This window comes from Homo sapiens, chromosome 12 (genome assembly GCF_000001405.40).
Source record: "Homo sapiens chromosome 12, GRCh38.p14 Primary Assembly".
Taxonomy (NCBI): domain Eukaryota; kingdom Metazoa; phylum Chordata; class Mammalia; order Primates; family Hominidae; genus Homo; species Homo sapiens.
The window spans coordinates 32,722,966-32,738,675 of NC_000012.12; the positions used below are offsets into that span (position 1 = coordinate 32,722,966).

General features: G+C 38.4%; 1 protein-coding gene and 1 pseudogene across 10 annotated transcripts in view; one reads left to right on the top strand and one right to left on the bottom strand.

The window, feature by feature from the left end:
- DNM1L (dynamin 1 like) overlaps positions 1-15,710 on the top strand; it is a 66,350-nt gene that overhangs the window by 43,665 nt on the left and 6,975 nt on the right. For 4 of the 10 annotated variants that reach the window (NM_001278464.2, NM_001278466.2, NM_012062.5 and 1 more), the window contains 7 exons: positions 8,049-8,169; positions 8,391-8,546; positions 8,889-8,978; positions 10,750-10,842; positions 14,140-14,196; positions 14,900-14,977; positions 15,299-15,331. In NM_001278464.2, coding sequence (NP_001265393.1) covers positions 8,049-8,169; positions 8,391-8,546; positions 8,889-8,978; positions 10,750-10,842; positions 14,140-14,196; positions 14,900-14,977; positions 15,299-15,331 — 628 coding nt within the window. The remainder of the gene's footprint in view (positions 1-8,048; positions 8,170-8,390; positions 8,547-8,888; positions 8,979-10,749; positions 10,843-14,139; positions 14,197-14,899; positions 14,978-15,298; positions 15,332-15,710) is intronic. The other 6 variants (NM_001278465.2, NM_001278463.2, XM_011520543.4 and 3 more) reach the window with 3 other exon arrangements.
- Positions 3,440-4,541, bottom strand: LOC100420981 (nucleosome assembly protein 1 like 1 pseudogene; annotated as a pseudogene).

Below are 15,710 nucleotides of genomic sequence, written 5' to 3' on the forward strand. Positions count from 1 at the left end.
AGTATAATTGCTCACAAAAATTAGAAAATGCAGATAAGTAAAAATAAAACATAAAAACAAAATTACATGTTGGTGTGCACCTGTAGTCCCAGCTACTCAGAAGGCTGAGGTAGGAGAATTCCTTGAGCTCAGGAGTTCAAGTCCAGCCTGGGCAACATATTGAAATTCCATCCTTTTTTTTTTTTAATTGAATCCAAATTTTATTAAGGATTTCAAGTTACATACTTCAGATTTCTAGAATGGAATGGAATAATTTTGGAACTGGAAAAATGGCATAAACACTGATATCCCTTGAAACTTCAATTTTATAAAGAAAATTCTTCTGCAAACCACATCCCCATTATATAACAAGACCAGGTATTATCGACACCTTCACTTTGGCAATAACTATTTCCTAAAAGAATGAAAAAGATTATTTTGCTACCTCAGTTCGTTAAAAATGGGATTCTGGCCAGGCACAGTGGCTCATGCCTGTAATCCCAGCACTTTGGGAGGCTGAGGCGGGTGAATCACCTGACATCAGTTCAAGACCAGCCTGGCTAACATGGTGAAACCCCATCTCTACTAAAAATACAAAAACTAGCCGGGCGTGGTGGTGGGCAGCTGTAATCCCAGCTACTTGGGAGGCTGAGGCAGGAGAATTGCTTGAACCCGTGAGGCGGAGGTTGTGGTGAGCCGAGATGGTGCCACTGCACTCCAGCCTGGGCAACAGAGCAAGACTCTGTCTCAAAAAAAAAAAAAAAAAAAAACAGGGATTCTATCTTTAAAGTTCAGAAAAAGCTGCATTTAGATGAACTACGGCTACCAAAACAAACAAAAAAACAGAGTGTCTAATCAAAGCAAAGGAAATGATTTTGAAAATAGAACAAAGCTATTATAATTGGTTAAGGATTTCCAGTAGTAAGTTAAAATCTCAGGAGAGGAATGGATAGCATTACAAACAATGTGTTCACATTCCAAGACCTGAACACTAACTTCTCAAAAAGGAAGTTTTCATCACCTCTAAAAATGAATTCAATGTAATTTTGTTAAGAGCAGGAAATCTAGACCTTCCTCTAATGACAATCCAATAGTCCACCCTCGCCATCGTCAAAAGAAAGTTGCCTCAAAATTAACAGTAATTAGCCTGAGGTATTGTAAATGTGGCACTACAGTCTGAAATTTAATGGCATCTTTTGTCAAAAATAGTCTTATCTCTACTTTAATCTCATGACTACAATACTATGTGCTATCCCTGTAGTATTTACTACTATGCAGTCATACAGAAAAAAATTGTTGGACCTTGTGAAATAGTGCATCCATCTACTTCTATAAAAATAGGAGCCACATTGGCCAGGCGCAGTGGCTCACGCCTGTAATCCCAGCACTTTGGGAGGCTGAGGCAGGCAGATTACGAGGTCGAGAGATCAAGACCATCCTGGCCAATATGGTGAAACCCCATCTCTACTAAAAATACAAAAATTAGCTGGGCGTGGTGGCACGTGCCTGTAATCCCAGCTACTTAGGAGGCTGAGGCAGGAGAATCGCTTGAACCCAGGTGGTGGAGGTTGCAGTGAGCTGAGATCGCACCACTGCACTCCAGCCTGGGCAACAGAGAGAGACTCTATCTCCAAAAAAAAAAAAAAAAAATATATATATATATATATATATATATAAATTATATTAATTAAATATAAATTAAATATTTAATATATATATAAAAAATAATAATATATATAATAATATATATAGAAGCCACACAAAGATCACTAACTGATAGTTTAGTTTGATAACTGTTTTCCAGTTTAGTTGTCAAAGCATGGTGTGAACAAAATGCTGAGTGTCAACACTGGCATTACAAATAGGCCCAAAATGTGAGCTTTTAATGAGAATGAGAAACATTTTATGAGATTTAACTGAATATGCCTTAACACATCCATGAGGTAGTTAAGTAAACAGTACTACACATTTTAATACATAGTAAACAGAAGCATGGGTAAGTGACATACTCATACTTCAAGCAATAAGAATTAGAAGAAACCACACAGAAGCTTGGGGCATTCTCTCTAGCTCTACCCCAAAGAAAATGAACTTTAATTTTTTTTTTTAAAGCATCGTATCACTGAAGATTTTCTTCTTCTTCTTCTTTTTTTTTACACTTGCTTATTAGTATAGTATCTCTTTCCAAAGCTGGTACCCTTTTCAATAATGTGGTAAAAACTGAGTATAACCCTTAATTCAAGCTAGGCCTCTCCTTCTACCTGAATTGGTACAAAATTAAGACATCTTGTAAGAACTAAAATTGTATTTGAAATTTTTATTTTAGGCTACAAAAACAAGCAAACAAACAACAAATAACTTGAAAACAGGTCTTGTCAAATGATGTAAGTTCATCCTTTCCAGGGAAGCAGAAGGTAGACCCTACCACAAAGAAAAGATGCTTAGTTAATGGAGGTTAAATTTAAAAGTACAGTGAAATTCAGGCTAACTTCTGAAAAATCCTGTTTTATTCACCTCACTGTGGTACCAGTAACTATACTGAGTCAGGTTACTTTACAGTTAACTATGTCACCTATAACACAATAATCCATTAACAATCTAATACAGTTATTGGGTGTGGTCATACTGGAAGTTCTTAAATTCTTAACCATATAGTTGTCTTGCCAATTTTTTTTTCTTTCAGATGAGTCTTGCTCAGCCACCCAGGTTGGAGTGCAGTGGCACGATCTCAGCTCACTGCAACCACCGTCTCCCGGGTTCAAGTGATTCTCCCATCTCAGCCTCCTGAGTAGCTGGGATTACAGGCACCCGCCATCATGCCTGGCTAATTTTTGTGTTTTAGTAGAGACGGGGTTTCACCATGTTGGTCAGGCTGGTGTTGAACTCCTGACCTCAGGTGATCTGCCTGCCTCAGCCTCCCAAAGTGCTAGGATTGCAGGCGTGAGCCACCGCGACTGGCATGCCGGTTTTTTTTTTTTTTTTAAACGATGGATTGTCTTAGTACAAGTCCCTGCATTTCTGTAACAAAGTAATGAAAGGCACAGCTAATCCAAGCAGACTTAACCCTATTCAACAAACAGCTGAAAAAATACTTTGGTTCTTCAAGGAAAAAATTACGAAAAAAAAAAGTGTTTCCTTTAACAGTTGTTAATTTTCATAGCTGTACTCCAAGAGCTATATAAATATTCCAGAAGAACCAAATTATGTAGCAGCGAATGAACATGTGTGACAGAATTTGTGCATTCAACATACCTGGCAGAAAAACTAGTGAAAATGCTAGGTAGAACAGATTGGTCTTTAAAATATCAGTTTCCTGTCCTTTAAAACAAAAATTACCCAGTCTACCAAGAAAATACAAAAACATAAGGCAGTAAGTAAGAATTGTGTTTAGGCTAGGACAGTGCAGGTTATCCTCAAGGCCACATATATCCTGCTTCACTGCTGCTTGCACTCTGCTGGGTTTTGATCCTTCTTCGGGTCATAGTCTGGATCATTTTCCTCATCTCCTTTGTCCTCTTCCTCATCTGCTTCTTCACCTTCTTCATCATACTCATCATCATCATCTTCAGTAGCTTCTCCAGTAAACTATAACACTGATCTTGGGATTGTATGCTCACGTAAAAAGTGACCAATTTTGAAGTCTGCAGCAAGGATAGCTTCAGCATCATCATCCAGATCTCCACTCTCAGGAACTTCAGGAGGGGCAAGAAAATTAAAGAAAGAGTCATTGGAAACTGTTTTAGTCACAATACGAATTGTCCCATGTCCCTAGTGTTTCTGCTGCTGCTTAATGGTTTTCAAAATGACATTCTTTCCTTTTTTCCAATCTATCTGGCCCCCTGTACAACCCATAATTTCTTGTCCATCAAAGGAAAAGTGATCAGAATCATCTGGTTCTGGTTCTAACCTCATCCTATATGTCTTTGTCAGCACTTCATTTGTAAAATATTTACTGGGTTCAAATTGAAATTCTAAGACAAAACTCATAGGCAGGCCAGCATCTGAGAACTTCACTTTGGTATCTTTCACATGCTTCAGAATAGGTTCATCATGTTTCTGAAGCATATCACTGAGCAAGTCAACATTCTTAAAAACAGGTAACCAAAATTCAGGAATTCCTTTGGGGTCTTCTTTTTCTTCATCGTTTTTCTCATCTTCAGTCTTGGCCTTTTCTTTCAACTCCTCTGAAATCTCATCTTCTTCATCTGGTTTCCATTCACATTCTTCCTCTGTAGGTTCATAAATTGTATTAGTAATCTCAGATTGCTTATCAAATAGAGGCTGATAGAGAACAGCATACTTCCTTTCAAGATCGTGAACTTCCTCATAGAATTTGGCTTCTATCTGTGCACCTTTAACTTGCAGGTTTTTGAGAGCATTCACTCCTCTTTTAACTACCCTAGCTAGGCAGGTTGTCAATGTCTGCCATGTTGTAAGAACTCCAAATATCAGTGGCTACTATGAGAAGCCAGGCGGCTGGAGCTGTGCAGGCAGTGACTCAGGGCAGCAGTGGTGGTGGGGAGGAGCAAGAGGCAGCACTGCAAGCAGATGGCGCTAAAAAAAGAGACCCTATCTCTGAAAATGGAAAAAAAAACCACTCTTAATTTCACCAACCTGAGATAATTCCTAAAATTTGGCATTGACCTAGGCATTTTTGTATGCATCTACAACACATAGATGCCTATACTACATGTCTTTAAAAATCAGATGCTATACCTATCTTGGAATCATTTCTCAAATCATGTAACAAATAACTTTCTGTCTCATACATTATCAGTCTGAAGATTTGCATAGTATTTTACTTTTTAGATATACCCTCATTTGTTAGGCCAGTCTCCTACTACTGGATAGTTTGTTTTCTGTTATATACACATATAAGCTGTGATGGACTACCTGCATCTGTCTTTGGGGCTTTGTGTCCAAGTAAACACTGAGGATAAATTTGTAGAAGTAAGTTTATTAGATTAAAGGATATAACATCCTTAGAATCTTTCATTACATATTGCATATTGTTAGCATATTGTACTGTTTTACTACCAGCAAGAACATCCATTTCTCTACACCCTCATTAGAACACCTTTTTATTTTGAAATAATTATAGACTCACAGGAAGTTGCAGGGTGATGTACAGGGAGGTCCCATGCACCCTCCACTGTGTACCCTTTCCCCCATCTCCCCCACTGTTGGACATCTTGCATAACTATAGTACAATAACAAAGTGAGAAAATTGGACATGGGTACAATCCACAGAGCTTGTTCAGATTTATACGTGAATTTGTGTGTGTGTGTATGTGTAGTTCTGTATACTTTAGTGTGCCCAAGATGGTCTTCATATGAGTCAACTCCGTAAAGAGAGTATTTATCAGACTAATTATTGGTTATATGTACGGCATATTGAGAAAAATAGATTACCACAAATGGGCCTTTGAAGAGTTTAGTGGGTAAAGTAGGTCAAGGTAATACTGGGCTTGATTAGGCTGCAAAAGTATAACTTTTATTTAAATACTTCTTATTGTTAGATATAATTCATATTCAGAAAAGTACATACAGTGTATATGCACACTTTATAAACAGTTAATAAACCAATTATCTGTGTCCACCTAATCAAGCGTTTCAGACACTGAAGAGAGACCATTTACATTTATTTCAGGGTTTGGGAGAACTCCACATTTAAGAAGGCATTTGAATTGGGCTCTGAATAGAATTTGAGAAGGCAGTAATGAGAGGGCATTTTAGGCTTGGCAACAGCAAAGAATAATGCAAGAATAATGTTTTTGGAGAACAGCAAGTATAGTGATGGGACATAATAGGAGATAAGGCAGGAAGGGTGTCTAGGAACAAGACTGTAGATACGAAGTTTTTTCTGTCTTGCTCTGTCGCCCAGGCTGGAGTGCAGTTGCGCGATCTCGGCTCACTGCAACCTCTGCCTCCCAAGTTCAAGTGATTCTCCTGCCTCAGCCTCCCGAGTAGCTGGGACTACAGGCGTGTGCCACCACGCCCGGCTAATTATTTTTTATTTTTTATTTTTATTAGAGATGAGGTTTCACTGTGTTAGCCAGGATGGTCTCGATCTCATGAACACGTGATCCACCTGCCCTGGCTTCCCAAAGTGCTGGGATTACAGGCATGAGCCACTGTGCCCAGTCCCCCTTTTTTTGAGACAGTCTCACTCTATTGCCCAAACTGGAGTGTAGTGGCGTGATCTCGGCTCACTGCAAACTCCACCTCCTGGGTTCAAGTGATTCTCCCGCTTCAGCCTCCCGAGTAGCTGGGATTACAGGCGCGCACTACTATGCCCGGCTAATTTTTTGTATTTTTAGTAGAGATGGAGTTTCACCATGCTGGCCAGGCTGGTCTCAAACTCCCGACCTTGTGATCCGCCTGCCTCGGCCTCCCAAAGTGCTGGGATTACAGGCATGAGCCACCGCGCCCAGCCGAAATTCTTATCTATTAAGCAATTACTCATTCCCCTCTCCTCCCTCCAGCCCTGGTAACCTCTAATTTAATTAATTAATTACTTTATTACTTTGAGACAGAGCCTCACTTTATTGCCGAGGCTGGAATGCAGTGGCACAGTTTGGGCCAGTCTCTGCCTCCCAGGTTCAAGCAATCATCCTGCCTCAGCCTCCTGAGTAGCTGGGACTACAGGTGCCCACCACCACACCTGGCTAATTTTTGTATTTGTTTGCATTTTTAGTAGAGACTGGGTTTCACCATGTTGGCCAGGCTAGTCTTGAACTCCTGACCTCAGGTGATCTGCCCACCTCAGCCTTCCAAAGTGTTGGGATTACAGGTGTGAGCCACTGTGCCTGGCCGAATTTACTTTCTGTCTCTGAATTTGCCTATTGTAGATATTTCATATAAATTGAATCATTCAGTATTTGTCCTTTTGTGCTTGGCTTACTTCTGTTAGCATAATATTAGACTAGTACTTTTTGCCTGAGCTAGTATAAAAAAGTACTCAATAGTGATTGTAAAAATAGAGAGGAAGGGATGATTTGGGGAGGCATTATAAAGGTATTTGTAGAATTCAGATGGACTTGAATTTAAAAAAAGATAATACCAGGGTTTCTAGTTATTAAACAAGATAGGAAACATAAGGTGCTCAGTAACTATATCAAGAGATTTAATTTGTCTAAGGCTGGGCGTGGTGGCTCATGCCTGTAATCTCAGCACTTTGGGAGGCCGAGGTGGGCAGATCACGAGGTCAAGAGATCAAGACCATCCTGGCCAACGTGGTGAAACCCCGTCTCTACTAAAAATACAAAAATTAGGTGGGCATGGTGGCACATGCCTGTAGTCCCAGCTACTTGGGAGGCTGAGGCAGGAGAATCGCTTGAACCCAGGAGGCGGAGGTTGCAGTAAGCCAAGAGCGCACCACTGCACTCCAGCCTGGGCGACACAGCGAGACTCCGTCTCAAAAAGAAACAAAACAACAAAAAAAGAGAGATTTAATTTGTCTAAAGCAAGAGTAGGGCTGGGCACGGGTGGCTCACGCCTGTGATCCCAGCACTTTGGGAGGTCAAGGCGGGCGGATCACTTGAGGTCAGGAGTTTGAGACAAGCCTGGCTAACAAGCTATACTTATTTATTTACATATTGTCTATGGCTGCTTATGTGCTTAATGGTAGAGTTGAGTAGTTGCAGCAGAGACTGTATGGCCTGAAAAGCCTAAAATACTATGTGACCCTTTATGGAAAAAGTTTGCCAACCTCTACTTCAGATTGTGAATCAATGGAAATAAATATAAGGCACTGTTTCCTGTCCTCAAGGAAAACTAGGGCAGAGAAAAGGTGCTTAGCAATTCTTAGTTAACTGTTGATTTATGTCAGAACATTTATTATATTTACATATATATAATTTAATGATTCCTTTTCCCCTTTAAAAAAATTAGAGAAACTAGTTCATAATGAGCTGAGTTAGAACACATGGTAATGGGAATGAATGAAATTGTTTATCTGAGGCTTTCTCAGAAAATAAGATGAGCTTAAAGCTTCTAGAAAGACTTCTAACTTGTATCTTCTTTCCCTTTTTGCAATGCCAGAAACCATATACTTCATTGCCTTTCAGATGCGGTGGTGCTAGAATTTGTTATATTTTCCATGAGACTTTTGGGCGAACCTTAGAATCTGTTGATCCACTTGGTGGCCTTAACACTATTGACATTTTGACTGCCATTAGAAATGCTACTGTGAGTATGTTTAGCTTTTTAGACTGTAAAAAAAAATGAGGTTAAAGTTTTTCTTACCCATATACTGTGTCTTTTTAAATTTAATTATACAGTTTATTTTGCTCTCATATTTGAAATTAAAAAGCATTTTTCATGAAAAGTACCAAAAATGTGACTTTCTTAACCCTTGGGAAGAACTGAAATTACATATATAATAAGAGTTCTAAGTTTTATTTTCTCAGGGTCCTCGTCCTGCTTTATTTGTGCCTGAGGTTTCATTTGAGTTACTGGTGAAGCGGCAAATCAAACGTCTAGAAGAGCCCAGCCTCCGCTGTGTGGAACTGGTTCATGAGGAAATGCAAAGGATCATTCAGCACTGTAGCAATTACAGTACACAGGTAACGGAGAGAAATGTAACAGGTTTCACATGAACTAGAAAAGGACATGAAGTGGTGGTTTCACTGGGTGGAAGGAAATGTATAAGATGGGATACAAGGTAAAATCTGTAGTTCCCTTACCTGAAAGTGATTTGAAATAGGATTCTTAAATGTAGTCTCCAAATTGAATTCAGTATTTCTGTGATCATTAAGTAAAAGAAAATGACTGTTAGCCTGGCATGGTGGCTTCTACATGTAGTCTCAGCTACTTGGGAGGCTAAGGTGGGAGGATGGCTTAGTGAGACTATGACTTAAAAAAAAAACAAAAAACAAACACGTTTTTCTTTCATCTACCATTTGTAGGAATTGTTACGATTTCCTAAACTTCATGATGCCATAGTTGAAGTGGTGACTTGTCTTCTTCGTAAAAGGTTGCCTGTTACAAATGAAATGGTGAGCTACTATAGCATAGATCATTGTAATTACTATTAGTAAAAGTTTAAATTTTTGCTTGGCTGCTTTTTAATAAGCATTATATGGTTACTTTAGAGTGTAGGCATAATGTTTTCCAGTGTATTGGGAGGAAAAACAAGTTGAGTTTCAGTCTCATTTTAAAGGAAAATTTTTAATAATTCTGGTATAAAGTGCATTTTTTCTTCATATTTTAATCATTGTTAGCCTGCAGGCATGGGTTTTCTTGAAAATAGATTTATGATTGAGGGGTGTGAATAGCTTTGCTGTATTATTTAGTACCACTGATCTTAAGAGAAAATTAGTTCCATCTTTAGCCTCAGTAAACTGAGCATTTATAGCACACTGTTACTTTGAGGTACATCGGAGTAATCTGGCCACTTCTGCAGTTTGCTTGTTATGACCTAATAACTATAATATCGTAGTTGCTTGCTACTATTCTGTGGGTTGCTGCTATCCACACAAATAAAAATGCTGAAATTGGCAGAAATATGGGATAAGCATTTAAAATTGCCCTCATGCCTCTAATTGTTGGCTGGGTTTTTTGTTTTTTGTTTTCTTTCTGATCACTAAAAGTGCATTTGGGTCCTTGGCTCAGGATGGTGAACCCCGTGGAGGTTTACTAAGAGTACAAAACCATCCTTGGAATGTAAGTGCTGCTGCTTGGTTGTTTCTTTAGCAAGGATAGCCCTCAGATTCTGATGTCTAAGACTGAATTTAGCCCAGAATCATTGGACCTTCATTTTAATAGACCCTTTTTACCCAGTTCTGGACTGATAAGTGCTGTTCTGATACCTGAGATTTGTTAGGACAGCACATAATAAAGGGCTCAAGTTTATTCTCTCTGTAAGACTCAGTGGTGTGGTGGCTCACACCTGTAATCCCAACACTTTGGGAAGTCGAGGCGGGTGGATCACTTGAGGTCGGAAGTTTGAGACCAGCCTGACCAACATGGAGAAACCCCCTCTCTACTAAAAATACAAAATTAGCCGGGCGTGGTGGTGCATGCCTGTAATCCCAGCTACTGGGGAGGCTGAGGCAGGCAGGAGAATCACTTGAACCTGGGAGGTGGAGGCTGCGGTGAGCCGAGATCGCGCCATTGCACTCCAGCCTGGGCAATGAGAGCGAAACTCCGTCTCAAACAAACAAACAAACAAAAAGACTTAGCAATTCTGTAGAGGGCTGGATAAATTAATTTTAACTTTTCTTTTTTATTTTCCTCTTAGGATTTTGAACTACATATAATATTTTAACTAGGTGCTTTATAGTTAAGGCTAATCAGTCACTACCTCAGGTCCTTAGATGTATCCTTTACCCAAATAAGTTAACATCTTTAACTTATGCCTTGTTACGAACTTATTTTCTTATTGTTGAAAATGAACTAAAAAAGTGACAGGGAATAGTGGATGATCTGAAGTTTTAATAGCAAAGTTGCATAAAGTGTTGGAATTTAGATTTGCATTAGGTAGATGACTATTTTTCCCTAAGAGTAAAATACTTGTAGTTACTTTAATGTTATTTTTCCCTCTTAGAAATGCAGTTTTAGATGCTGAAATGTAAATAATTTTAAAGCTAGAGTAAATTATTGTTTGGCATAAGATTTATCAGTTGGAATATAATTATCAAGTAATTTAGGCATAAGTTTCCTGTACTTTTTCGGTATTGTCTGTTTCATAAGTTTTATATATAAATTTCTCAAAGTAAAATATGGTTGATGTATTTTTGTATATCGCCTAACTTACTTTTTTTCTAGGTCCATAACTTAGTGGCAATTGAACTGGCTTATATCAACACAAAACATCCAGACTTTGCTGATGCTTGTGGGCTAATGAACAATAATATAGAGGTAAATATAATTCTTAAATGCTTTTTCACAGGTAGAAAAATCTGTTGTAACTCAGTTATATCAAACTTATTTAGCATGGAGTAACTATAAAATAGACATGTGCCACATTAGTGCCTGCTGCATGTCAGGAAATATGCTGAGGGGATTACATTGTTTTCTTAATTCTCAAAACCACCTGCAGGCATTATTACTTTCTGCTTATGAAATTGAAATTCAGAAAGAATCTGAAAATTCATTGATTTGGTGTGACTGGCTCTATTTTGGTAACTTATAGTTTATACAGGGGAAGTGTGTACAACAAAGTATTTAAAATTCTTTTCATTTGGCTTTGAAAGCTGTGAAGGAAACACTCAAGAATTAACCAACTTAGCATAAATTTGGAAAAGCAGAGTGCTTTTTTCACCACTACTGGGGTGGCTGCATTTCATGGATCTTTTCTTTCCTTTTGATTTTAATGTAACAAATTGAATAAGATCTCAGATGGAGCCAAGGCTGGTGGACAGAGCAATTTATCCAGAAGCCATTTTTTTTCTCTGCCGCTTTTCTCCAAAAATAGTACATTTTTCTGCTACTCCCTAATTCAGTAAGACCTGAGTCCCCTGCTATACCAAATTTCCTCTTCTGCATATCCATGGTGAGAAAATTGTAAACATGCAATTCAGAAGCTGGAAGGGATCCTGTGTTATTGACTTCAACTCTGGTTAAAACAGATGGGGTGGCCAGACGTGGTGGCTCATGCCTGTAATCCCAGCAATTTGGGAGGTCAAGGCAGGTGGATCACCTGACATCAGGAGTTTGAGACCAGCCTGGCCAACATGGTGAAACCCCGTCTCTACTAAAAATACAAAAAATTAGCCGGGCTTGGTGGCAGGTGCCTGTAATCTGAGCTACTAGGGAGGCTGAGGCAGGAGAATCAACTTGAACCCAGGAGGTGGAGGTTGCAGTGAGCTGAGATCGCGCCATTGCACTCCAGCCTGGGCAACAAGGGCGAAACTCCATCTTAAAAAAAAACTGGGGAGCTTGAGGCTTACAGATAGCAGTTATTCCTTTGGTGCTTATTTTGCAGGGCACTATTATAGGAAGCAAGCACCTTCTTAACACAGGTATAGGGAACTAATTTTTGGTTACATAGCTGGGGGTGATTCCTGTTATCAGAAAAAATTCCAAAATGCATACATGAGTAGGCACTTCAAAACACTCAGAAAGTAGGCCAGATCACAGTTATGTTAAAAATTAGCATGTAGACACTTAAAGGATTTAGTTTTTTTTACATTGAAACTAACATCATGAAAAACTTGTGTTTGCGGTAGTTCTGTTACACTGACAAGGTCATATGTGATATGATTTCAGATTAGTATTTTTCTACAAATGAATAGGTTTCTGGTTTTAATGACTGTGCCAGAGAACTTTATGTGGATATTTTCATTTAATCTTTACCATACCCTGAGGGCAGATCATGTCATTAACAGATTAGGACACTAGGGCTTCAAAATAGTTGGTAAGCTGTCCAGTTAGCAAAGCAGGTACTCCACATCTGCTGGGGTCCAGGAGCAGCTCAGATCATAACTGGTTAGTAACAGACTAGGGTGAGAATTCTAGATACCGTGGCCTTTTGCTTTGTATCCCTGTTCAAAATGTACATTTTATCATGCTAATTTTTTATTTTGAAGATTGTTAATATCTATACTTTTATTATCTGTTATTTTTTATTACTGAATACCCGCCCATGAAAAAATAAAATTGGGTCAAATTTCTGTCAAAAAAAATTATTACACATGAAACATCACTGTGGGCTGTGTGCGGTGGCTCATGCCTGTAATCCCAGCACTTTGGTAGGCCGAGGCAGGCTGATCACCTGAGGTCAGGAGTTCAAGTCTAGCCTGGCCAACGTGGCAAAACTGTCTCTACTAAAAATAGAAAAATTAGCCGGGGGTGGTGGATGCCTGTAATCCCAGCTAGTAGGGAGGCTGCAGCAGGGAGAATCCATTGAATCCAGGAGGCGGAGGTTGCAGTGAGCCAAGATCACACCACTGCACTCCAGCCTGGGCGACAGAGCGAGACTCCATTTCAACAAAAAACAAAAACAAAATCATTGTGAGGCTTTAACTTATATTTTTTTGCAAGTTGGACTGTGTTCATGAAATACTTCCTACTTAGGAGCAATTGTGACTTTAACCTAAATAGTTTCTACTTTATCTGATGCTGCCTGTGAGAGATCCATCATTAATTAACATCTACAGATTTCTATATCTTCATAATCTTTTTTTTTTTTTTTTTTTTTTAAGACAGAGTCTCACTCTGTCGCCCAGGCTGGAGTGCAGTGGCATGAGCTCTGCTCACTGCAACCTCTGCCTCCTGGGTTCAAGCAGTTCTCCTGCCGCAGCCTCCTGAGTAGCTGGGATTACAGGTGTGCGGCACCATGCCTGGCTAATTTTTATATTTTTAGTAGAGACAGGGTTTCACCATTTTGGCCAGGCTGGTCTTGAACTGCCCTCAAGTGATCTGCCCACCTTGGCCTCCCAAAGTGCTGGGATTACAAGCATGAGGCACTGTGCCCGGCCAATATTTTCATAATCTTTTACCTATCTTGGTGCTTGGATATAGCAGATGCTCGGGACATTCTAATTTGAATTTGTCAGTTTCTTTAGCTTTGTACAAGTTACTTTGATAATATTAGCAAATTAGAACAGTAGGCAATTGATCAGTGTGTTAAATTAGCCAGGTTACAGAAAGGACTAGCAGTTGTCAACACTATTTCCTGGAGGAAGAAATGGAACATTTTTATAGGATAACCTCAACCACAGATACTTCTTCAAGATACGGTTTTATGAGGGGAGTTGTTTGAGTTTAACACAAAGGTGTTCAGGTTAGAGTGACTTTTAAAGGCTTTGCGGAGTTTTCTGTGATCTCTGGACTTCAAATTCCACATGGTTATGTTGAAGGCTTACCACGTTCCACATTTATGTGAGGACAGTTTACATCACTGTTTCTTAGTGGGAAAGGGGGAGAAGATGGCAGTCTGTTGCCCCTCATTTGAGAATCCCCAGTACAGGGAGCCACTGTTACTGACAGTGTATTGTATCCTTCAGGTGTGTGGGCAGAAAAAAAAAAGATTAAGAAGCTTTGGGTTAAATGATTTCTTATTTATTTTAAAATATGATAATTATGGCATGAGTCCCAACAGTGAGAGGATGTATCTGTAAGTTACTCCACACTTTTCAATTAACATGAACATTTTTTAGTAGGCATATATCTCAATACTTGGATAATCACTTTTGTTTTGCTTGTGTTTCTTAGGAACAAAGGAGAAACAGGCTAGCCAGAGAATTACCTTCAGCTGTATCACGAGACAAGGTAAAAAAATGTTTTTAATGCATATTCCCAATACCTAAAGATAGATTGATGAGCTCAGAATATTACTCAGTCCTAGGAGTAATTTTTTCTTCTTTTCCTCCCTTTAACACTCCATTGGAACTAACTGAGTAAAGGCATACAAGTTTAAAATGGGTTTTGAGTGATTTAAAGATAATAGTATTTTGAATTCACTGACATAAATGCTTAAAAGTAGATTTAAGCATTTATTTAAGCATTTAAGCATCAAGCTTTTTAAAAAAATTCAGTCAGTGACTTTATCAACTTTGCACATAGCTGAAATGACTCAAGATTTTATTATAATAAGAGGGTTTCTTGGAAAAAACAGTATGCACAGAACAGAGGTTTTAATTACTAGTAATAATTAAAATAGTTGTAATACTAAAGTGTGTATAAAAATCTTTTACCTTGAATTCTTTGCCAGAAAAGAATCTTATTAAATACCAAAAATAAAAATGAAGCTTTTGGATTTGGATTTTTCTTATGTATTCATCTGAAGGAAACTTTTAACAAAGGTGACAATGGTGAAGGAAATAAGGCAGAATAAACAATCTCCCATGATTATTTTCATCTTTCATGTTATTTTACGATTTCATTACAGAAGGGAAAAATTCATTTATAGAATGTTCCTGAATGCATTTTTGCATCCTTGATTTTTTTTCCCCCCTGGATTTTTTGCCTTTAGTCTTCTAAAGTTCCAAGTGCTTTGGCACCTGCCTCCCAGGAGCCCTCCCCCGCTGCTTCTGCTGAGGCTGATGGCAAGGTCTGTTCTGATTCTTAATCTAAGCCTGCATGCCTTGTTCTCTGGTACAACATAATCTTCTGGAAACAATACACTGAATAGAAGAATATTAATATGGGATACTGTGCTAAGGTCAGATCACTTTAGTCTAATATATATTTTAAAATTATATAACAATGCAATGCATAGTTTATATTGTTGACATGCTTTTGCTTGCAATATAGAAGATGCACACAGAAAAAGTAATTTAAAGAGGAAATTATCCTGCACTTTTTGAATTTCAACCCATTGGTATTTAAATTTTGCTTGTTAAATTGCATGTTTTAACATATCTTTTAACAGTTAATTCAGGACAGCAGAAGAGAAACTAAAAATGTGAGTCTCTTGCTTCAGAATGGAAATGTTGGTACCTTTGGTTCTCACTGAAACACTGTCTATACCACCATTAAAGAACCTGTTTGTGTAGTGGTATCTATCTCTTGTCTGTGTTATGTTCTTAATGTTCCTTTTATCTAACCTGTGGAAGATGGCATTAAACGTTGTTTTAATTAGTAACAATAATAGGCTTTCTCACTGTTTTGTTACCTTCAAGAATAGTTTTAAATTTAGTATTTTGGTAGGAAATTCAGAGATTTCCTAGATTTCAGAGATGGAATTGTATTTTTGGACATTTCCTTTCCTCTTTAAAGATCTTGAGATCTGTTCAGTACTAATAGATCTAATGCTTCTTTCTTATGCTTCCAGTTAGTTTGCA